We start from the raw sequence: 24,867 nt of genomic DNA on the forward strand, positions 1-24,867 counted from the left end.
TTTTTCCTCACTCTCACTGTGTTGGGTTTCCCAAGTAAAGCACGGAATGTTGATCCATGCCTCATGTGTTTTTTCTAGGGAACTTGGGCTAATTAGCCCAAGTTAAGATTTTAGTAAAATATATATTTATTGTAAATTGTTAGTAAGGAAAAACTGCTATTCTTCAAGGTATTTTGTAGATACTAAAGGTATGTCTTATGGGTTTCAGTGTTGTTGTCATGTTGGTTTCTTAAAGCCATCTGTTGATGCTTCTCAAGATGTTAATTATGGTCACACTTGGAAGCTAATTTCAAGTGGCAATAATGACTGCTCAGATAGCTGCCCATTGACTTTTGTGGTTTGCTTGACAGTTATTTTCTAGGAAAATATTATTCATTCTGAGTGGTAATGTGAGAGCTCCCCAGGAATTTGGAAAGGGAATTTAGAAGTGCGAGGAAAACACCAACTTCTGTAATGAGAAGAATATTGGAAAGGTTGAAAGGAGATGGCTATCAAGACCCACACTTGTGTGATCTCCAAGACATGATACCTTTAAAGAGAACTGCCCCTGAGAGTATGGCTATTTAAGAAGCTCTCAGACTTCTTTCCAAAAAGCAACAGGTGACCCTCAGCTTATCCTTCTGGGAAGGATTTCCTGGCTTCAGTATGGTCTTATCCTTGGCTTCTTAGCTATATAGCTGTCCATTTCCATTTTGTTCAAAATTACCCTCTGCTGGTTTCCTTGGTCATCATTACTTAGACTCGTAAATCAGGTTTTGTTGCTTAGTTTACTCTCTTTGGATTGACAGTGTTTTAGCCTTACTTTTCTCCATGTTCCTTCTTCGGAGATTCTTATTTGCTTCACCCTTCTCAGCCTCCACCAAACTATGCCCTGCACATTATTTATCCTGGGCCCCAGCATTCAGAGAAGCAGAAATGAGACTATATTGACATTTTTCTTTCATTTAAATTATTTTTACTAGAATTTTTTTCTTCTTTTTATTCTGTTTTCAAATGTATAATGTTAAATTTTTTGGAGTACTGACTCTCAAAGTTTTGGGCTTTAGGAGCCCTTTCTACTCACAAAATAATAATAATATAATAATAATAATTATTATTATTATTATTGAGACAGGGTCTCATTCTGTTGCCCAGGCTGGAGTGCAGTGGCACAAGCTCAGCTCACTGCAACCTCCACCTCCTGGGTTCAAGTGATCTTTCTGCCTCAGCCTCCTGAGTGGCTGGGATTACAGGCATGTGTTGCCATGCCCCGCTAATTTTGTATTTTTAATAAAGACAGGGTTTCACCATGTTGGCCAGGCTGGTCTCAAACTCCTGGCTCCAAGTGATCCACCCACCTTGGCCTCCCAAAGTGTTGGGATTACAGGCGTGAGCCACTACACCCAGCTGATACAAAATTATTGAGAATTCAAAATAGCTACGCATATTTGCTGTATGAGAGATTAAAATTGATATATTTTTAAATTTACTAATTTTTAAAATTACAATAAACCCATTATATTTTAACATAAATAACAATTAAATTAAAATGTCTATATTTTTCAAAATAAAAAATATTTAATGAGAAGAGTATCATTGTTTTGCAAATCTCTTTACTATCTGATCTAATCGAACACAGCTTGATTCTCACAAAGTTTTGCATTCAATTGTTGCCATTTGTTGTTTTGTTTGAAGTACGGTCATTCCTCAGTATCCATGGGAGATTGGTTCCAAGACCCCTGCAGATACCAAAATTCACAGCTGTTTAAGTCCCTTATACTATAAAATGGCATAGTATTTGCACATCATTTATGAACGTGCTCTAATATTCTTTAAATAATCTCTAGGTTATTTCTGACACCTAATATGTAAATGCTATGTAAACAGTTGTTATACTGTATTTTTATATGAATATTTTAATTGTTGTGTTATTTTTTATTGTTGTTGGGATTTACTTCCCAAATATTTTCCATCCATGGTTAGTTGAATAGAAGATGCCGAACCCACAGATATGGAGGGCTGACTGTATGTGGAAAAAGTCTCACTTTACTCAGATATGCAGCTGGAAAAGGGAGAACCCTACGTATACCCTGAAAGGGCCTCAAGAACCTGCAGTCACCCTGAGACCATATTTTAAATTGAGAAATGATGATGTGGAGTATCGTGGAAAAATAATTACCTTTTTAAGAAATGTTTTCATAGAAAAATTAATTCTGAATTAAAAGCAAATGATTTTACCAGAAGTTTGCTAGCCCAGACTTTTTGCAGTCTGGCCTGTTCTGAGTATTTTTTGAGTTTAGATCATTGAACTTTAGATCATTTAACTCTCAAAGAGCTAAAAAGAAATAGCATTTTAATATGTAATATGCCCTATACAACATGGTAATAGGTAAATTTGTTCAGAATGCATATTTGTGTTAGAAAATATTTGTTTAATATAAATATATAATGTGAAAAAATTAAAGGATTCTACTATCACACTTTACATTGATCAGAAATATCTGAAAAATGGCGGGTGTGGGAGTGGGAGAAACCTGTATTACAAAAACCCAAATATATAGTGAGAAAAATAAATTCTAGTATAACAATCTTAATTTAGGAACACCTATGTCCTTAAAATTTTCTTTAAAGCATTGTGCAGTAGTGACAAATACATTTATTTGATATTAGCAAGGAAATCCTTGTTGACCTGAAGAGAAGATGGTGATCCCAGCACTTTGGGAGGCCGACATGGGTGGATCACGAGGTCAAGAGACAGAGACCATCCTGGCCAACATGATGAAACCCCGTCTCTACCAGAAATACAAAAATTTGCTGGATGTGGTGGCGCACACCTGTAGTCCCAACTACTCAGGAGGCTGAGGCAGGAGAATCGCTTGAACTTGGGAGGCAGAGGTTGCAGTGAGCCGAGACTGCACCATTGCACTCCAGCCTGGTGACAAAGCGAGACTCCATCTCAAAAAACAAAAACAAAAACAACGTGTATCCTTATGTTTTAATAGCATCTGCAGAAACTGAAATAGAAGATGACAATGCCATTTGACTGTTCTAGTAACGCCTCTCTTTTTCAAAGATCTCTCATTTGTCATTTGGTATAAGTGTTTGTCTCTTGCTTGATAATTTTTACAAAATGTATGCTTTTTTCACTAAACGAAAGAACTTTTAGAGTCTTTTGCTGCCATTCTATTACCTCCTAGACCATGCTGTCTATACCCCATGATTGAGCTGCCTGACACCACTGACTGGCTACCAGCAACCCATATCTTACACTACTTCCATGTACCTGGTGCACACTCTAGCAAAACATTCTCCATTTTGTATTAGCAACAGTGTGATTTCTTAAAGAACTGGTAATGTCAAAAGTCTTTTAGAATAAGCCCACTGTTTTAATATTAGCAGCAGTTGACTCAGAAAAGCTATCTTCCACTGAACAATGGAAGTTTTAAAACAAAATTCATTTGTAACTTGCATTCTTCCATCTTTCACTATCTTCTGATAACATTATGTAGATGAGTTGCATCTCCCAAATTAGATTGTAATCTTACTTTAGGAAGGACCATATTTCGTTTGTTTTTTCCTGTGACCCAATTATTTAACATGGGGCTGAGTGCATAAAACCTATTTTAGACCCATCCTTACTGTGTACTGTGCATTCATTACATAGAAACTAAAGAAATTACTCAGACATTCTAAAATTTCCAGTTCAATAAAACACATTTTTTGGTTTTTAAATTTTATCTATTTAATATTCTCCGATTTAGAAGTTTTGACAATATGATGGAGGTTATGATTCTCTTCTGCCTCACAAAGCACATAGATGTCAGTAAATTATTTATCCCAGTTTCTATTCCAACCATTCATATTGGCTACAGCCATCATTTTCTTAGGCTTCTTTACTTTCCTTCAAATTATATCACCAATGACATCAAAACAATTGACAAGGTTGCTGCCCAGAAGTAGAGAAAACAGCAGAATTGAGGTACAAAACTAGGTAGCCTGCTAGGTTCGTTCACCAGCTAAGTGATTGCTCCTACATCAGCTTTCAGTATGGATTCAAAAGAGTTTCTAGGCAAAATTCTAAATTGCTATTTGGTAGGGCCCATTTGGGTTACTAGTAAATGGTCAAAACTTTGAATATGAAATAAACTGATGGCAAGAGTTCTTATGAATGAATAATTATTAGTTACTGATCGATTAGTCTGGGACATGGAAGAAACTGAGAGAGTAATACTTCAGGATCTTAGGAAAATGTGAAATGAAGGGAACAAATACTAAAAGCAAACAATAACGGAGTCCTCAGTGTCTGACAACATTCACTATTTGAGGGAACCAAGCCTCCCATCTCCCTCAACCATGGTCAAAGGAGAGCGCTTATGACCCATTCTTGGCCTTGTCATGGTTATATTTCTCCTACATCCAGGAATAGGCACATAAATCAAGCAAGGCTAATGATAATACTATTTGAGATTAGATAGATGTTGAGAGAGAGCATCTCTCTTATCTTAGAAATACAGACTTGGAGCTTCTGTGGCCATGTTTCATGCCGTTTGGAAAGGAGAGACATAGACAAAGACACAAACGTGCACAGGGGAGAGAGAGATTATCTGAGTCTCAACCTCTCAATTTGGTTATGTCTGCAGATAGATCTACTCTGACTTCCCAGTTACATGTGCCAATAAATTACCATTTGGGACTTATTACGTGAGTTTGAGCTGCGTGTTTGTTACTTGAAACTGAAAGAGCTTTGATCAATACATGGTCTGAATCATGCAGAGTAGCTATGGTTTAGTGTCCGTGGAAGACTGCTGAAACAGCCTCCAAAGTTCCTGGGTTAGCACTGGATGTATCAAGATGTGCGTCTTCCTTTACTCCTTTGCTGCAAAAGCTCCAGAGCCTATCAATTTGATGTACAGTCACTAGAGTTAGGTTGCTTTTCTCTGCTCACAGTGAGTCTTCCCTGTTATATAATGGCCTCATATTAACTGTCAGGTATTAAAATGTACAGATCATATATTCATCCTCTCCTCTAAGAATTTATAGCTGATATTGCATTTTTATGTGGGATGTTTGTAAATATTTTAAGAAGTATGCTGGGTTGCACAGACTGGCATCCAAACAACAAAAGTAAAATACATTTTTGTTTTGTAATATTGCAAATTGATTTTAATAGCTTGACTTTCTTTAGCAAGAATATATTAAAACATCCCATGCCTCTTGATTGCCTGTATGAATAACCAAAACTTTTATTGCAGTTTACCATGACTTTATGGCAATTTAATGTTTTATTGCGTATACGGGTGAAATAAACTCTGGAGAAATCTCTCATTGGGCTGGGAACTCCTTAAGATCTCCTTGTAAACATTTTTCCATCTCATAAAAACTAAAGGCATTTAGAAATGGTGCGTGCTTTCTTTAAATGAGGTACTCTAGGGTCTGGCAAAATTATATTTTCCAGATAAAATAAATGTAAAATATATTTATATGTTGCAACCAAGAAAAAGAACATATAAAGTTGGAAAAATTTTTTTGAGTATTCATTCCTTTTTAAAGATTGCATCCTTTTTGGTTACTGTTTTCATTAAAGAATGAAAATTAAATGACTGGATGTTGTTCTCTGTCGTCTTGAAAGTTGTGATTGGTTATCACCATTGATATGCGCTTGGATTTCTCCTGAGGTCAACCTTTTCTTCCTCAGGAGAAGTAACTGAAAGGGGAGAACCCATTTCCCATTTGAAGCAGTCTCTTGGATATGCCTATAGAGTTTGGCTGTGAATTGCACATAAACTTCTTCACTTCTAAAACCATGTAAACTCTTGCTAGTTCAAAGGTTCGGGACAGCTCAAATGGCAGAAACCATAGTAAGAGTGCAGGTATCATATCTATCGATTGTTTTGATAAATTTTGTTGGAGAGGAAGACATTAAAACGTTTATGTCTACTATATAACTTTTAGATCTCTGAAATGCCAACTCATTGTGATTAAAGGGGTCAATCACTGGGCTAGAGAGAATATCCCTAATTTTGGAATATCCTGAACTAAATCGCCATTGTCCCAAACAAAGAGACCAAGTGGTGAACTAACTAGGATTCTTTCATGGCAAGCAACAGAAACTAACTCTGGATAACTTAAACAGAAAAAGGAAATGTAGTGGCTCATATAATTAGAAGTTCAAAAGGCAAACCAGCATAACTGAATCTAGGGGCTTAAATTGTATTAACAGTCCTCTTCATAACTCAGCAATATTTTTTCCTGTGTTGGCCTCATTTTAATAAAGTGGTCTCCATATGCTATCAAAACTGTTCACTATTAGAAGCAGACTGTATCCTCTTTTGCTCTCATAATTTCAGAGAAAGATGGAATACCTATTTCTTGATTGTTTGAGCAAAATTTTTGGAGAGGCTCCTGACTGGGATGACTTGGGTCTGGTGAATATTCCTAACCCTATCACAATGGCCAGGGAACAGGATACTCTTGTTGGGTAGGTTGGGTTTTGTGCTACATCCGTGTGAGAAGGACAAGTGAAGTGATTGACGGCTCCACTGGGGTTTAGACAGACTTCCATATAAGAAAGGAAGACAAAGAAGAAGGATAGGTTGAAATGAGCTTGGGCATTAGTTGTGACAGTGATGACTTTTGATAGGAAAGTGGGGAAGATGCCATGTTAGGAGTCTGACAAGTTGTGATGCATACTAGTTTCTGGCTGTATGTTACGTCAGAAGCAGAGAGAAAGGATGTGCAGCTGAAAAAGAAAGAGAGGAAGGAGACACACAAAAGCTAAGGAATTAGGCTCTGCGAATTGCCTGATTCACCCAGGTAGTTATTGCTGTTTCTATTTCTCTGCTACAATGAAGGGGGGAGTTTCTTTCAGTTTATCTCTTTTATTTTGCCTTTTAGGTGGACAAAAAAATCGTAAGAACTGAGATAGGAGTTCTTCTTCGCCTCTCACATCCAAACATTGTAAGTGGTTTTTAACCTACTATTTCAAATGATTGCCAGAGCTAGAGAAAGGGACCTTTGTCCTTCACTGTCAGTGCTGATAATGAGAAGGGATTCTCCCACCACTGATAGCTACTATGTGCTAGCTCTTGTCCTCATCTCATCACCTTTTCAATCCTTTGGCTGAATAAGTCTTACAAGTAATACCTCTGAAAAAGTTCCAAAATAGACAAATTAGCAATATACGCCATCTTTATTTTCATTCATAAAAGGATAAAAATCGAAGAGTTTTGTTTTTCTCCAACAAAACACTGGCTTTTTCCTTCTTTTGTGTGCCTATCTTATTAATTTTCCATTACTGAAAAAGCCTGTGAAGAAAATACATTGCTTTCCCAAGTAATTTCAGTCTGCTTTGAGAGAGGATCTGCTTCATGAACAATGTGAAGATGCAAATAAATGATGTACTTGAATGCAGAAAATAAAATGTCCTCAGAAGCTCTGCTTCAGGCTTTGTCCAGACAGCCTCTGAGGCAAAGATCTAGTAAAAAGCGTTCTTGAACTGATGAAGTGAAAAAGAATAAAATTATTTTCCAGGTTGCAAGTTATTTTTATGAATTAAGCCATCTACTTCAAGAAAGCATTTTTGCCCATTTCTCTGAGGAAGTTGTGATGTCCAGGGAGATGGCCTGCAACGCTTAGACTCCAGGCAAAGTGCTCAAAACTTAACATATGAGTTAGGGAAGCATTCAGCTGTAAATAGCAGAAAACTTGAATAGGATGATTTAAACAAATATTTTCCATATGTTGCAAGCAACAAAAATCAGGCAGTTTTCTGGCTCAGCTCGCCGGTGCTGCTGTTCCAGAACCCAAATACCATCCTTGGTTCTGCCATCCTCAGTGCATTGACTTTCATCCTCATGCTTTTCCCTCCTGGGCCTAACATGGCTGCTCCACAATTTTTGCAAGTCATCACATCTATATTCAAAATAGGAAGAAGATGGAAGGATCTCAGCTGCCAGTTCTCATAAGAAGAGTAAAAGCTTTCTCAGAAACTATGGCAGTGGAAGTCTCTTCAAATTTTATTGGCTGGAGCTAGTCACAAGATTACCCTTAACTGCATGGGGGCTGTGAAATTAGTGGCTAAGACCATTCATGATCCACAATTTGGGGCTAGATACCATCTCTGAACAAATCAGAGTTCTGTTTATATTAAAGTAGGGAGAAAAGGGCTTTGGGTAAGCAGTTAATAAAATCTCCCACACTCCATCACCACTTTTACATTATCCATCTCTTCTCTACAAAGATAAGTCAATGTAGAATTTTCCTCAAGTGTAGACTAGTCCTGGCTACTAGATTCTCGTATATATGGAGAAAAATATATAAAACTGCTTGGATTAGCTGAATGTGATGAAGACCATGGTATGCTCAATCAAGTCACTGTCACCACTGCTTTTCTGAGGATTCCTTCACCCACTGACAGCTTTTTAACTATTGATTGATATACCCTTTACATATAGGCCGACTTTAAGCTGGTCCTACCCTGCCGCAGACCCCTAATTTTAAGTTTTGTAATTCCCAGAAGAAATAGGCATTTTGTACCTCTAGCCACCTTGATGCCTCAAATGGTTTAGGAAGTTGTGTTGTTTTTGTTTTTGATTTTTGAACAATTCAGAAGTTGGGATGTTTTAGAAAAGTTAGAAAGTGTTTCCAAGGCAGACATCTTTCAACTGACAAAAGGAAAAATGTAAACATTTTATAGGAACTTTGAAAAAAATGAGGTAACTGATAAAATCAACAACCCAGAAAGAGAGTGAGAAATAGCTAGCTGATAAAAGAATGAGGAAACTTTATTAACAGTGATCCAACATATTACTACTGCAGAATGTTGTTTTAGCCATAGTATTAGCTATTTCCAAGAAAGATGGAATAAGAAATTTGTGATATTCTTTTTTTTATATCTTTCCCTAGATAAAACTTAAAGAGATATTTGAAACCCCTACAGAAATCAGTCTGGTCCTAGAACTCGTCACAGGAGGAGAACTGTTTGATAGGTGAGTTGGTTCTGGAAATATAACCACAGAAAGGTTTGCTTTTGGCCACCAAAAAATAATCTAAAGGACATTTCTCCTGAAACTTTTTATAATGACAGATTATACTTGTTGATAAATACTACTAAAAAAAGTCTTAAGAAGAATGTTGAAGGAAGGTGGGTAGTGGTAAGATGTAGGTACATGAAAACTTGAGATATTTAGTGAGTAAAAAGAGGAACACTATAATATCTATTTATCTTTGCAAATATTTGTCTCCTCAATAAAAAGATAGAATGTCTAAAATCAAATTAAATCTAAACTAAATAGTAAGATTTATGAGAATATCTTAAGAAAATATTTGAAATATTTGAAAATTATAAAAAATTAAACATGTACTCTGTCCTCTGTTATGATCCAAAAGCTCATAAAACTCAATAATCTTCAAATGATTATTTTTAAGCTTATTTTCTTTAGAAGTCTGTGTAAAGAGTTCCATGTTGCAAAGTAAACATGTTCTGTTATAGCCAATTATTGCCAACTTTGGTTTCCTGTTCATATGTTCATCTTTCAAAGCAGAGGAGTGAGAATGGAGGGGGGTGGGGGTGGGGGTTGGAGCCTGGAAATCTGGCAGAGCATAATATATGCAAACTATTTGTACAAGACACACAAACTTTATGTTTCTATAGTTGTTCCATCTTCCCCACCCTCTTAGGAGAATTCTGTATTTGTCCTGATGGGCTCTTGAGAGCCTTTTGCTGTGTTCATCAGGTAATCAAAAAAGAATGGACTTTAAAGAAGACAAAGAGACTAAGTAGGCATATATTAGAAATGGTAAGAAGCCATGCGTGAATGGAAAAGTTTTGGTTAAAAAATGGGGCAAGAGACAGGTAGACTGCAGTTTATGGGGAAGACAGAAGAGACTGAGGGAACCATTGATGTACCCTGAGTGCCTGGATCACAGCAAATGCTCCATAAATATTTGCTGAATGAATGAATGAACAACTGCTACAATGAATGGACTCTGAGGAGAAATATCTAAAGGGGATTAGTTTTGAATGCGTTGAGAGAGGAACACTCCTTCACTTTTGCCAGGGTCTGAATGTTTGTGTGCCCCCAAAATTCATTTGCCAAAATCTTGATCCCTAAGATAATGGTATTAGGAGATGGGATCTTTGGGAGGTCATTAGGTCATAAAGGTGGAGCCCTCCAGAATGAGATTAGTGCCGTTATAAAAGAGGCCCTAGAGAGCTGCCTTTCCCCTTTTACTATGTAAGGACACAGCAAGAAGGTGCCTTCTATGAGAAAGCGGGCCCTCACCAGACACAAAATCTTCTGGTGCCTTGATCTTGGACTTTCCAGCCTCCAGACCTGTGAGAAATAAATGTTTGATATGTATAAGACACACAGGTTATGCTATTTTTAAATAGCAGCTCAAATGGACTAAGACACCTTCCTTCACACCCATACTCTACCCAGTTAAATTTGCTGCCTCTTCAAGAGCTTTCAAAAGTATTCATATTGTTTTTCAAAGGTTCTGTCTCTTTTTAACATTACCCAGTGAAAATTTGGATCTTTAGGTGAGAAGGAGCAAAAGGTCTAGCTTCATTGCAACTACATATGTATGTGTAACAGATACACATCTGAATTTTGTTCATATATATGTTGACACTTCCTTAGAGCAGGTTCAACATATTATTAGACTTTAAACATTATAACATTTTGACTATTTTCACATTTTAAGAATAATAAGTCAGCTGAAGGAAGTAAGCATCAGTAGCTTAAAGCCATACAGTTCTGGCAGCAGTTGTTTTTTTGAAAGACTCACAGTTGTGAATCCTGACTCTACAACTGAAAGATAACTAACTAACCTAGAATAATTTACTTAACTTCTCTGAACCTTAGAACAAATTTGAAGTGGCTTTATGTTGCTAATAAAGCTTAGATGGCTCTAATCCACTATGAAGATACTCTTGTTCACATGTTCCCATGTCCTCAAGCAAGAGTCTCCTGGCCTAGCTAATTTGGGTATTGCCACAATATGCCTATAATGGCTCCTTTTTCAACACCTCTTTAGCTGACTTTTTTATGGATGTATTCCTTCTTTAGTTACATTAATAGAGCAGTTTATAGTCAGATGCTGCTGGTTTTGGAGCTATGAGCTCTCTCTAAGGAGACCTTGCATATTTCTCTGCTAATTATGGTCTATCAGTGAGAACTCTCATGTTTTTAAATTATAAATAATTGCAGGACAGGAATGCCACACTGAAGCAATCATCTACTAATAGTGTTTGCTGTTTACTTACCTACCTCTATTGGCTTGAGTTAATTGGGAATCATGGGTTTCTCCTTCTCTTCTTCCCAACCTTTCTTCCATGAAAGAATTTAGGATGAAATTTAATTCAGCTATAGCTAAAAATGGAAAAAGTAAATGCTATTGATAAATTTCATTTGGAGAGATAAGTGGATGAAATATTCATATTTAACAGAAAACCTCTGAAGAATGGCATACAGCCAGTAAAGCACTCAACTCTTAGTGGTTTTAAAAGATAGACTCTTTTCCTTTGCATGTTGTGGTCTACAACATTGACCTAGCTGATATGAACTTGGTCTCTCCATTAAGTTACTTAATTCTGCAGTTATCTTTAAATTTTATCAAGCTGAAAATACATTCTGCATTATTATCCAATGTATTGATTTCTTTCTTGAGAGTTAAAAGGTAACATGATCTCTTTTTTTGTACTTAGGTCAAAACAAATTTACTTAATTGTGATGATAAGAATTCATTCCTGGTCTAATGATGACTCTAATAGTACATAATGAATGAACTAGGGGAGTAATTGCTGAAGAGATAATCATATGAGTCAATTATACTCAAAAAGGTTGTATTTAATTAGCAAAAAATCTATTTATAATGCTTATAAAAATTAAACATAGTCAAAATCCAAGTAGAATCTGCTATTTTATGTAGAATTTAAATAGTAAATTACATAGGACAGTTTATTAGAAATTTTGGAATAAAATCCATGATTTGTTGTGCCCAGGAAAAATCTAAAACATAAATAAATTTGCACAATTATGACATCATGAGAAGAAGAAAGCTCCCATGAAGTTTCTGTTTAACCGTTCTCAGTTTGGTCTCAACTCTTAAAACCTCAACATCATTTTCATTGAATTATTGAAATGGACAAGGTGTGAGTTTTGCTTTAAGAGCAAGTTTCGAAGTTTTTTTCCCTCAAAAATGACTATATTTTAAGACAGCAAATTTAGCAATATCCTTACTGTCTTCTAATTAAATCAAAAGTATTTTTTCTTGATTTTTGTCAGATAACTCCAGTATCTAAGTATAGTTTTGAATTTTGTAAACATTGTCATGGGTTTTTTTTCTGTTTTCTTTTTCTTTTTTTGTTTTATCACTTTTTCCTAAAGAATTTTATTTTTATTTAACTTTTAAGTTCAGGGGTACATTTGCAGGTTTGTTACATAGGTAAATGTGTGTCATGGCGATTTGTTGTACAGATTGTTTCATCACCCAAATATTAAATCTAATATCCACTAATCCATTAGTTATTTTTCCTGATCCCCTCCATTCTCCCAATTTCCACCCTTCAAAAGGCCCCAATGTGTGTTTTTCCCCACTATGTGTCCATGTGTTCTCATCATTAAGCTCCCACTTATAATTGAGAACATGCGGTATTTGGTTTTCTGTTCTTGTGTTAGTTTGCTAAGGATAATGGCCTCCATTTCCTTCCATGTCCCTGCAAAGGATATGATCCATTTCTTTCTGTGTTTTTGCTTGCCTGTTTAGGCTTGTTCCAATGCCAAACATTATGTGTAAAAGGTTTTAGAATTTGAGACCTGGAATGCTGTTACCTTCCAAAAAAGGAGATTTTCTTTTGTTGTGGTGGGCATTTAAGGTTAACAAACAGATCATTTTAATGCAATCAGATATTAGGCTAATTCAAAGCTGGGCTTCCTAATGGCTGGTATACTTCTTGTCAAGTCTTATTCACAAGGCTTTGCTCTTTGAAGGTCTCAACTTTAAGCCAGGGCATTATACCAGGGCTATTCTTACTTGGCAGACCCTCAATGTCAACTTCTGTACCCTTAGCTCTGTGTAATTGCCAGAAACTTTATTCACCTTCTCCGCCTGTCAGCTGCTGTGTTGGAATAAGTAAATGACTTCAGAAGGAAATCAGAGGCATCAGATGGCAGGTTTGCTTTGCTGGGTTTTTCTTCTCTTCTGGATCTTGATTCCTAAATCCTTCCCTTCCTTAGTGTATTAGTTAAGGATCTGTAAAGGGACAGAACTAACAGGATAGATGTATATATGTAGGGGAGTTTATTAGGAGAATTGACTCACGCAGTCACAAGGTGAAGTTCCACAAAAGGCCACCTGCAAGCTGAGGAGCCAGGAAGCCAGTCTGAGTTCTCAAACCTCAAAAGTAGGGAAGCCGATAATGCAGCCTTCAGTCTGTGGCCAAAGACCCAAGAGCCCCTGGCAAATCACTAGTGTAAGTCCAAGAGTCGGAAAGCTGAAGAACTTGGAGTCTGATGTTCAAAGGCAGCACAGGAGAAAGATGGAGACCAGAAGACTTAGCCAGTCTAGTCTTTCCACGTTCTTCTGCCTGCTTTTATCCTAGCCATGCTGGCAGCTGATTGAGGGTGGGTCTGCATCTCCCAGTTCATCGTTAATCTCCTTTGGCAACGCCCTCACAGACACACCCAGGAACAATACTTTACATCCTTCAATCCAATCAAGTTGACACTCAATATTACCATCACACCTGATAACTCTCTGATTTGTTCAAATAGATTTTTTTTATTTTATTGAGTTTGTTTTTATTTTTCTTACCTGGAGGCTTGTCTGACCCACCATTGCTGAGAGCAAAAATTCACATACGGTTTTAAATTTTTTTCACAGACACTAATGTATTTTCCTGATTTAAAAAGTCAGCCTATTTGAGCAAGCAGGGTGAAAAGCAGTATACTCACTATGCAAATATGAAAACAGAATTAGTAATGATCTTCCCAGTCGAGGCAACCAGACTGTCTTCTGATCCAATCCTTTCCTTCTTTTAGGGCCTCACTTTCTTTCTTATTAAGTCCAGTTTGTCTCTTGCACATCATTTCCAAGAAAATAAATATCTGTTTATACATGGAAAATCCATGATGTATTGATTGGTCCTGTGCAAACCTATGTATCTATATAGCCCACTCAATAACTCTCTCTTCACCTTTTTTGAGGTATTATTATCCATATCTTTCCATAGCATACACTTAAAAAGTTATTAATAGGTCATAAGACCTCACCTCCAGTCCTACTATATGAGTCCTAATAGTAATCTGTACTTCAGCATTTCTAGATCTCTCATTCTTGGTGGAAACAAATTGAATTTTCAGGGCATTGCTATTAGAAAAAGGTTTGAGAAATGGAACTGAGGCTGTTTCTTGTCCCAGTCTTTCTGGAGTTGTAGTATGGTTGGTATTAGGATTTAACAAACTTAGAAAAAGTCTGCATTTGTGAAGACCTTTGTATCAGAAATTAGTCATCAATGTAATTATCTAATGAGTGATTCTGTAAAATGTGATTGTTCAGAAAGGATAATTAGTGAATATAATGAGGAACATTTTTGAGATCCTATTGGGTTGCTGGCAGAGTATGCAGGGCAATTTATTAACATGATACTATTTAATCATTAGAGCAACACATATATAAAGTAGGCTTTGATATATACATTTTATAGACAAGATAACTGAGGATCAGAGAGGTCTGTTAACTTCCGTTAGGTCATTCAGCTTATATATGATCTAATAATAATTAAATAAGATTGGACTCAAGTATGTCACATTCCAAAGTATATAATTTTGCTACCATGTCATGCTGCTGCAAATGCCAGAACTCTTATGCTTAAAAATAAAACTTGAGATTAGTAATCTAATGTTTGTCCTACTTGAGTGTTGGCTTAAGCTGACCTTTAATTTGTATATAGTTGCTTTTCAACCATGGATATTTTAAATACATCTCTTTATGTGGCTTTATCTGGCTATATGTAAAGAAAACTTATACTTTGATTTGGACTAGACTTATAGTTTACTTTTTCTAGAAGCTTGGCCATAAAATGAAAGATAGAGGTGAGGTAGTAGAACACACTGGATAAATGGAAGTTTATTATTTTAAGCTGTAGGTCTAGGAACACATTGATTTGCTGATGGGAAGGAGCTCATAAGAAAGAGAAGCAGGAGAGATTTGTATGAGAGGGACCTAAATTTGGAACAACATTCTAGAAAAGGCATGAAGGGAATGAGATCTAGAGTCAGATAAACGGATTTGGTTTTTAGAAAAAACTCTTCTTCCTCTGAAGCAGAAAGAAAGAGACAAAGGGTCAAAGGAGCTAGATTAATCAAAGCAATTTTGAAAAAGAAAGACTTTTGGAATAAGTTGGAAGACACTGTTGGGACTGAGATGTAATTGTACCTTGCTTATAAACTAATAAAAGAGCCTATTATTCTTTTGTGGATGCTGGAAAGCACACGATTACTGAATCAGAGACAAAGGGCCTTATTACTCATGGCACAGCAAACGTTATGGGCATTAGCAAGTCTGTCAGTTCCCCTTGCCCTTTGAGTTCCATGGAGGCAGTACAGTGGGGCCAGATAGATGCCTACACCTGGAATTAGATGTGTTACAAGAGGGGAGATAATTTTTTTTTTTTTTTTGTATTTTTAGTAGAGACAGGGTTTCACCATGTTCGCCAGGATGGTCTGGATCTCTTGACCTCGTGATCCACCCACCTCGGCCTCCCAAAGTGCTGGGATTACAAGCATGAGTCACCCCGCCCAGCCAAGGGGAGATAATTTAAATGTCATCAACTGGAGAATGCACAACCATTCAGCAATGAAAAGGAATGTTCCTTTGATACACACTACAACATGGATGAACTTTAAAAAGTTTATGCTAAGGGAATGAAGCCAGACATGGAAGACTATATATGCTATGACTCTATGACTTTATAAGGAATTTCCAGAAGGGGAAAATATATAGACAGAAGCAAAACAGTGGTTTCCTAGGTCTGGAAATTGAAGTGTGGTGGGTTAGAAGACGTTTGGGTAGTTCGGTCTTGATAGCCTCTAATTTTCCAGTATTGTTAAAGAAGGGAAATTGATCTCCTAATATTAACTGGTAAAGAATGGAATAGGGCACTTGAAGAAGGAACTGGTGAAGATTTTAAGTGAGATTGTGTGAACAGACAAGGGCAAGAAAAAGGGCTTTTGAGGAGCACTGAAGGTCTGCTAATGCTGAAGGCTATGCATATTTGGAGACTCTGGTCTCTGTAGCATTATATATTACTGGCTTACTCCTTCATATCATTCATGGAGTTTTGGACAGCGTCTCTTTTTCTCTTGGCTTTCGTCCAACTTTTCAGCCGTCTCCCTCTTGATCTCTTTCCTGAGTTCCTCTTCCCCTCCCCACCTCTTAAGTTCCCTTTAAACTTCTTCTACATTCTTGTTAGATGAATTTGACACTCACCTGTGGCTTGAGCCACACTGGTGGCTACAGTATCAGCTAAGATGAAAACTGTATTTTCAGCAGTCTACTAGGCTTCTCACCAAGTCCCATTAGCACCTCTAAATCAAATGAACTCAGCATCCCTCTCTCAATCTCACTCCCCTTCCCTGTGAACTGATTCACCAACTAAACTAATCAACATGAATTTCTCCCTTTTCCTTTAGATTCTCCTTCTCTATTCCCTATAATTCTTCCTCTGAGCAGCTTTGAAATCTGTTCCCTTTTCCCTTTCCCAGTGCTTCTGCCCTGTTGCACCTTTGCATTGTTTCCCATTGCAGTAGACTCCTGGAGAGTATTACTTTCACTCCTTTCCATCCATCTGTATTTAAGCATAGATTTGATCAGGTCAGCCCAGGAAGCTACTCACTACTTTCACTTAAAGTCAATACTTTTAAACATGACAAAAAAAAGCCCACTTACAATCTGGCCTCACCTTACCATGCTGGCTTTACCACCCACTTTGTTCTCTTCCCACCAATGTATTAACCACTGTATATTGTCTCCACCCTCAAGGAGCTCATAGTCTAAAGAGGGAAAGTAAAAATGTGACATAGACGCTAATATTTTTTAAGCATCACCTTCCAAGTAAAGCATATTAGGGATTATAATGACTACAATATCACAAATTTTTTTAATGAGGGCTAGGAAATAAAAAGAAATAAAAATAATAATCAGGACATAAAAGAGAGATCATCAGATGTTTTGTGTTTGTTAGAGATTGGCCCCATATTCAACTCTAAGTATTCATGTGGGGATGATAAGTGCTATAATTAGGGCATAAACACAGTGTGTAGAGTACAAAACAAGGGGGTTTTGTAAGTCAGAAATTGCTTCAGGAAGGAGTAAAATCTTTTGAGCTGACTCTTATGTGAGAAATTGGAAATTAGCAGGCAGAGGCCAGAAGGAAGGGCCTATTGTGGCAAAATGATGTTCAAAAGCACAATTGTACACTGTTGGGTAAAATATGAGCATCTTAGTCTCAATTTTAAAAGCTGGGCTAGGTAGAAAGCAAGCAGGGACTAGATATTTGTTAAGTGAATGATTGAATAGTGTGCTCCTGAGCAATATATATATATGTGTGTGTTTTGTTTGTGTTTGTTTTTGAGACAGAGTCTCCCTCTGTCGCCCAGGCTGGAGTGCAGTGGCGTGATCTTGGCTCACTGCAAACTCCACCTCCCGGGTTCACTCCATTTTCCTGCCTTAGCCTCCCCAGTAACTGGGACTACAGGCACACGCCACCAGGTCCAGCTAATTTTTTATATTTTCTTAGTAGAGATGGGGTTTCACTGTGTTAGCCAGGATACTCTCGATCTCCTGACCTCATGATCCACCTACCTTGCCCTCCCAAGGTGCTGGGATTACAGGTGTAAGCCACCACGCCCGGCTGCAATATATATATCTTTTGAGTCAGGCCTTTTATCTATAGTATGAGAGAAGTAGACTGGGAATCTTTTAGGCCCATTCCCAGATTTGCAATTTGATTTGACCTCCTCTTTCTCTTGTCAGCTCCCTGGCCAGCACCCACATTGATCCACAATTCCCTGACTTTCTTCTTAGTATTTGAATGTAACAGGTGCTAGTAGTATCTTTGAAACTACTTTTTTGAAAAGTATATGAACTTGACATTCTTTGGCAAGAAAGTTTTTACAGAAAGCACCAAAACAGACAATGATGTCATCAATAAAATGAGAAGCTGTGATTGAAACTTACAAAGAAGTGGTAGATTTACACAGAGTACAGCAGATTTCATTTTAATATAATTTTGTATGTAACAGCATAATGGTGTACTGGCAGCCCTTAAGACTTGGTTCCTGAAACTTTATATTATTTGGGGCTTTTACTCTCTGTCATTTGATCCTTCAGTACACATTCTCATCAGACCATTATCTTTCTCACATAAACCTAGTCATCTACAGTTATTATGCAGCCATTTGAGAAAAAGCTGCGAGTGGTGGGCAGAGCAGCAGGGCTCCCAATCTATGTGCCAGGAAGTCTGGGGCCTCAGGATATGATCAGATTAGAGCTCTTCAGCTGCTGTGCGCGTGTTAACTGCCTGGATGGAGATGAGCTCAATTCAATTTGTGGCAATTAGTGTTACAGAAGCAAATGCACCAGAGTCATATGTTACAGCAGCTCCATAGAGAGAAATAGGCATTGCCTGTATTTTTTCATCCTATAAATTTTAAATGATGGGAAGAAAAACACACCAACTGAGGAGAAGAGCACGGGCACCAGCACAGCGAGCAGTGGAAGTAAAAGGCACAGTTGTGGTGTAAGAGAGCCTGTTGAAGCCAGACGCTTTCAGTGGAGGAGCTTGGGGAAATGTACCACCTTCGTGCTTCCTTCCCAGATCTCCAGATGTCTGCTAGGCCCCCTGGCAGCTGAGGGACCTGTAGGAACTGGAGTCTCAGGGCAGCCTTTTGGGTCAGTGTTGTGATTAAAATCCTAGAAGACATTTTGTTTTGAGCTCTGAGCCCTCTGGCCTAGCCCACAATGGAAGTCTGGGAAACTGTGTGGCACAGAGGCAAACCACAGGGCCCTGGGCCTGTGACAATTATCTTAAAATGCTGGTAGCATCTTAACTGCTTCCTTATTATTTTTCAAATCACGAAACAGAAATTAGTTTACTAAATCTCAAGAGAAATACAGCAATAACTATGTTTAAATATGAAAAAACAAAAATACCAGCCAAAATTATCCCTCTATTTTTACAGCTTTAAAACCCCTACAATTATTAAATATTTCGTTGCTTCTAAAACTCAGAGTCATGAGTATATTTCGTATAAAGCTATAAAACCTTGAGTCTCTACCCATGGTTCAATTTCATTGGCAAATTTTTTGAGATGCCAGCTAAATTGTATAAAGAAATTACGTGTCACCTCATGAAACAAATACCCCATTTTAAGGAATTTAAATTACTTTGATTTTGTCTAAAATAAGTTTCTAAAAAGATTCATGTTATTCCAGCAATATCTAAAACTATGTAACTCTGAGTTTCTTCCTAAAGCCAGCAGTAATCTTTTCACTTATTGCATTGTCCTCTGGGAAGCATCCACACAGCTGTTCTTCCTCTGGAGTCATGGCCAATGTACTTGTGATGGGAATCACTTCTGAGTCCAGTGCTTTTGTTCCCCATGATAGTGAACATAGGCAAAAGTATTGTCCAAATGTCCTCAATCTGAAATTTTTCTGACGTCCATTCACTTGGCAATTGGTATTGATTCCATAAATATTTACTTACTATGGGCAAGTTTTGCAGCTAGGCTCTGTGGGTGATCCAAGCAACAATCTAATGAGAAGGCTAATAATTTTACCACAGTGCCCTGCAGAAGGTTCTGGACAAACACATCTACTGATGTCATACAACTGAAATTAAGAGAAATAAATTGCAAGATTTCATTTTCCTTTGCTTGGTCACTAGCATCTTCACTTGCAGTCATAGTTCTAAGTTGTAAACCTGCATTTATGACTTGAGTTCATTGCTATTGAACTTTTCAGTCAGCCATGGATAGCCTGAATGGCAGCTCAACTTATAAAATATTTAAAATGGGATGTCTGAGTTTCAGAAAACTAACCCTGTGACAATCTGTTTAAGGAATCATCTGGGAACAAAGCTCCTTTTAGCAGAAACTGCCTGGAATAGAAGTGGTCGAAGGGTGATGGTTGGCCAAGATGCAGTGTGCGGAGTTCACACTGAAATGAGGTGGGGAGGCACTTGAGTTTTGTGCCCTTGCCCCACATATCTACTCTATGGATGCTGTTCTCACTACAGAATTAATAAATCCCTTGGTTGTACAAACCTTACATAACATACATTACATCTATGATAATGTTTTTTGTTTGTAACTTTCTTTACTCCACCATCTGTGGTCTCATCTCAGGCAGAGCCCAAATCTTATTCTGTTTATATCCAGCAAGTACCTGGCTCACATTAGAAGTTATGAATGTGGATGAATATCACCACTTTCTTCTTCCATACCTATCCCGACCCCCAACTGCCACCCTCCTTGCATCTGAAAAATTTCTATACACCTTTCAGGTGTGAGCTGAGATATAGCTATTTCTGGAATCCTTTCCTCACCCTTCATGGCCTCCAGAATAGATTACCTGCATTTTCTCAGAGCTCTCAGGCCATTATTTAATAACTCTATCACATCATTTAGCACACTGTGTTGAATGTTGTCTGTCTACTTATACCAAGAGAAAGCCCATGAGTGCAGAGGCCATGTCCAGTTCACTACTGAGTGGCCAGCACATAACAGTCTCTCCGTAATATTTATTGAATAAATAAATTAGCAGATACATCTGTTGGAATGCATCCTCTGGTTAAGAGAATGAATTATTTCACTAACTTAACGTATGTTGGGGAAAATCAGTAAAGTTTCCATTAACTATTCTTCATATACCTACTACTCCTCTCTCCCTCCCACATGAACACAGCTCCCAAGAAAATTCACTCTTCCATCAAGCCAGGCCCTAGACATTCCCACAAGAACATATTCTGAAACACAGGCACTATCTTAGACCTTTCAGTCTGATGTAACAAAATTTCTTATACTGAGTGGCTTATAAACAACAGAAATTTATTTCTCATGGTTCTGGAGGCTGGAAAGTCCAAGATAAATGTGTCAGCAGATTCAATGCCTGCTGAGGGGCTGCTTTTTGATTCATGGATGGCACTTTCTAGCTGTGTCTGCACATGGTGGAAGGGACAAAGAAGCTTTCTAGGGTGTCTTTTATAAAGGCATGAATCCCATTCATGAAGGTTCATCCTTCATGACAGAATCACCTCCCAAAGGCCCCACCTCCTAATAACATCACATTGGTGATTAGGTTTCAACATATGAATTTGGGAGAGACATAAACATTTAGCTCACAGTAGGCACTTAACCCTAACTTAGAGCCAAATGAAAATACAGAAGATATTTAGGCTGAAGCTTGAGACTACATAATAAACCAAAATATAGAGAGGAGATTGTAGTGGGTGAAGCACCTACTTTATGAAGAGTGATGATGCCTCTAAGAACTGTGTCTTTAATAGACACCTAAGGGAGACAGCTCATGGTTGTGGAAGTTGGCTCTCTTCAACCACAAGGAGTGCCATTTGCATGAGTAGTGCCCTCTGGAAAAGTACTGCAAAGCAGCTGTGGTAAAGCTCTAGCCTGGGTGAGTGACTATGGGGAAAATCCACACTGTTTGTTGTAGGCCAGAAGGTAATTGATTTTATTCCCTTCTGGAGATAATATAAGGTTGCAAAGAAATTTAACAGCTATTCTTCTCCATCATCTTTGTAACAACTCCCCTCTTTTAACAAAACTGGAGAAAGCCAAGCTCCTGAGGCTATAGGTACAGAGCACAGAGGAGACACTAATTACATTTGTGCTGGATGATAGAGATACCACAAAATCCACGTTTAGAGTAAAATGCAGAGAATGATGTCATGGTAGCCAAAGTCCTGAACTTTCTCTGTCACAGTAGTACTTCTTTTCCCCTTCCCTCATACTTAAAATGTTCAGAAAGTATAGTCCCATGAAGCATGTCAATTAAATTTTTATAAGTAGACCATTTAACCTAATCATGAATTGGAAAATTTCATAGGTTTGTAAGTAAATATCATAAGAAAATGATATTCAAGAACAAATGAATAATCATTCCCTAGATATTGTAATCTATTTTCTCCTTTCATTTGACCCTAGTGCTGGTAAAGTATCCCAAAAATAAAAAGAGGATGAATTTGAATTGCTTGCCAGTGTTCTAAATAACTAAATAAGGAAAATGAGGTAATTGAAATTTTTGCCTCAATATATTGTTTCTGAATTTTAAAAACTATAATCATTGAGGTTTTTTGATATATTTTATACTTTTGACATATCTGTTTTGTTCTGCTGCTTCTCACCCCCGCCCCATCCCCTATTTTGGAAACATTTTACAGATTTTAAATTCAACTTTTAATACCAGCTACTTTGAGAACTTAAAACTTCTTGTCACAATATCTAAAGAAAACAGAAATCAAAGAAAAGTACTTTCTGAAAAATATGCTATTTGAGGTACCATCTAAGAAAAGTTTCTATTTAAAATGACAAACATTGTTGAAACTGTCCTTTATGTTTTGAATTGACCATTTTCAAACTTTGTGCCAGCTGAAGTCATCTTATGCAGTGCTATTAGAAATGTTTTTTCTCCTGAAATTATGGAAAGTTAGACATAGCAACAAAGTAGTTTTTCAGTCCTCCAAAAGCTCTTCATAAGACTAGACAGCAACTTGTTCTGAAAAATCAAAAACTCAATGACAATATCTACAGCAAAACCAGGTGGCCGGGTATCCCCATGAAGCCTAACATACAAGTGAGTGAGGACCAACTAATGACAACAGGAAGAGCCATGTGGAATGATCACCTGTACACGAAGAAGCAAGGGAAGCAAGAAGACAAATGAGAGACCCCAAAGCAGGCAAACACTCAAATCTCTCAAATCTTCAAGTTATTTGGAAGAAGGATAGGTCAATACAAAAAGAGAAGCTGAAATTGGGAGTGATTTTTACCATCCAAATTTCTGAAAAGTACAAGGGGTGCACCTGCAGTAAGGTCTAAAAAGCTAATTCATTGTCAAGGCCTTGTGAACTCCTGAAACAAAAATCTAAAGTCCCTTGGGGAAAAGGTTCTACACTTAGGAAAAACTGCTAGGAAGAGAATCCAAATTAATCAGTGTAGAGACGGTAAAGGCAAGGGAATGAAGTTCCAGGGGAGGGGAAGAGATCTCAGAAAGAATGAGGGCATATTTTTGAACGCTTCATGAACATAACCAGAAACTTAAGAGCCATGAAACTAGAAAAGATATCCTGAACTATCACTCTGTCAAAAGGTTAAGTAAACCAATTTGGCTTAAAAATGGACGGCAACAGAAAAGTATCTGATTTAGTTCCAATAGAGAATGATTATGGGACGTGGATGGAGCTGGAGGTCAATAGAGGACAGACAATAAGGAGCAGAATAAAGTTCCTTTAGGCAGTGAAAGCATGTCAGGAAGAACACCCATAAAAAAAAAACATGAAAATAAGACAGTGTTACAAAATAAGCTAAAATTAAGAAAACTGTAGGACAACAATATAAATCAAAGGTAGAAAAATTCTTACATATCTATAATTGCACACCCCAAAGAAGAAAACCAAGGCAATGGAAGAAAACAAACACAAAACATTCTACTTCAAGAAAATATTCCTGAGATTTAAAAAGAATAATGAAAGCACTCTAAATTGAAAGATTATGCCACAAATCTGAATAACTAAACCCAGAACAACTACCGTGTTTTTCATAAAACATGTCTTAAAAGACTTTAAATTAAAAGAAAAATTCTTTGCCCACATTCATGCAAAAAGAGCAAGTCAATTATTTGGAGAAAATCAGGTTGTCATCAGATTTTTTGAAAATCACATCATGTGTCAGAAGAAAATTGTCACCTACTTAAGATAATGAGGCTCTCTTTCCTCCTGCTACTTTGAAATAATATTCTTTTACTTGTTGCTAATTATACAGCAATCAAGAAGTTTATCTTTTTCAAGCTGTTCTTATTCTTCGTAATTTTTGACAGCTATATATTGTATCTGTATTGTAAGTTCATACTAGCTGGATTGCTAGTGTATTAGTCTGTTCTCATACACTATAAAGAACTACCTGAGACTGGGTGATTTATAAAGAAAAGAGGTTTAATTGACCCCCAGTTCTGCATGGCTGCAGAGGTCTCAAGAAACTTAACTATCATGACGGAAGGTGAAGGGGAAGCAAGTCACATCTTCCCATGGCAGAGCGGGAGAGAGAGAGAGCACAAAGGGGGAAGTGCCACACACTTCAACTATAAGATCTCATGACAACTCACTCACAGTCATGATAATGGCAAGGGAGAAATCCTCCCCCATGATCCAATCACCTCCCACTGGGCCCCTCCTCCAATTTGACATGAGATTTGGGTGGGAACACAAATCCAAAAAATCCAAACCATATCAGCTGGTTAATGTCAGTATTGCTGAGAGTACAGAACAAACCAAAAAAGAAGAAACTAATGTTAAAAACATGAAAACATAAATACAAACACTCCTAAATGGAAAAAAAATTAAAATTAAAGAGGAAAAGCACATAAAATGGACCACATAGTAAAAACATATATAAAACATTTTGTACATATTAACCTGATAATATTGTTTGTCTAGGAAATGGAATATGAACATATGTACATATATATTTATTTTTTAATTCAAGAATAACATGTAAAATTAGAAAAATACTACCTGCCACTAAAAGTGTACTTCTAGGAGACAATGACTTATTCTAGGTCTGAGGCAGCAAATGTACAAAATAAGTC

The 24,867-nt window shown here is 37.2% G+C and overlaps 1 protein-coding gene across 6 annotated transcripts in view; it reads left to right on the forward strand.

Annotated features, from left to right (window-relative positions):
• Nucleotides 1-24,867, forward strand: part of CAMK4 (calcium/calmodulin dependent protein kinase IV) — a 271,304-nt gene that overhangs the window by 144,394 nt on the left and 102,043 nt on the right. For 4 of the 6 annotated variants that reach the window (XR_948303.3, NM_001323375.2, NM_001323374.2 and 1 more), the window contains 2 exons: nucleotides 6,874-6,936; nucleotides 8,884-8,966. The exons of 1 other annotated variant lie outside the window; for it this stretch is intronic. Coding sequence is in view for 3 of the 5 variants with exons in the window: in NM_001323375.2 (NP_001310304.1) it covers nucleotides 6,874-6,936; nucleotides 8,884-8,966 (146 nt within the window). In the remaining 2 variants the exon portion in view is untranslated. The remainder of the gene's footprint in view (nucleotides 1-6,873; nucleotides 6,937-8,883; nucleotides 8,967-24,867) is intronic. One more of the 6 variants, NM_001323377.2, reaches the window with a different exon arrangement.

The sequence above is a fragment of the Homo sapiens genome, chromosome 5, assembly GCF_000001405.40.
Source record: "Homo sapiens chromosome 5, GRCh38.p14 Primary Assembly".
In the NCBI taxonomy this organism is placed as follows: Eukaryota; Metazoa; Chordata; class Mammalia; order Primates; family Hominidae; genus Homo; species Homo sapiens.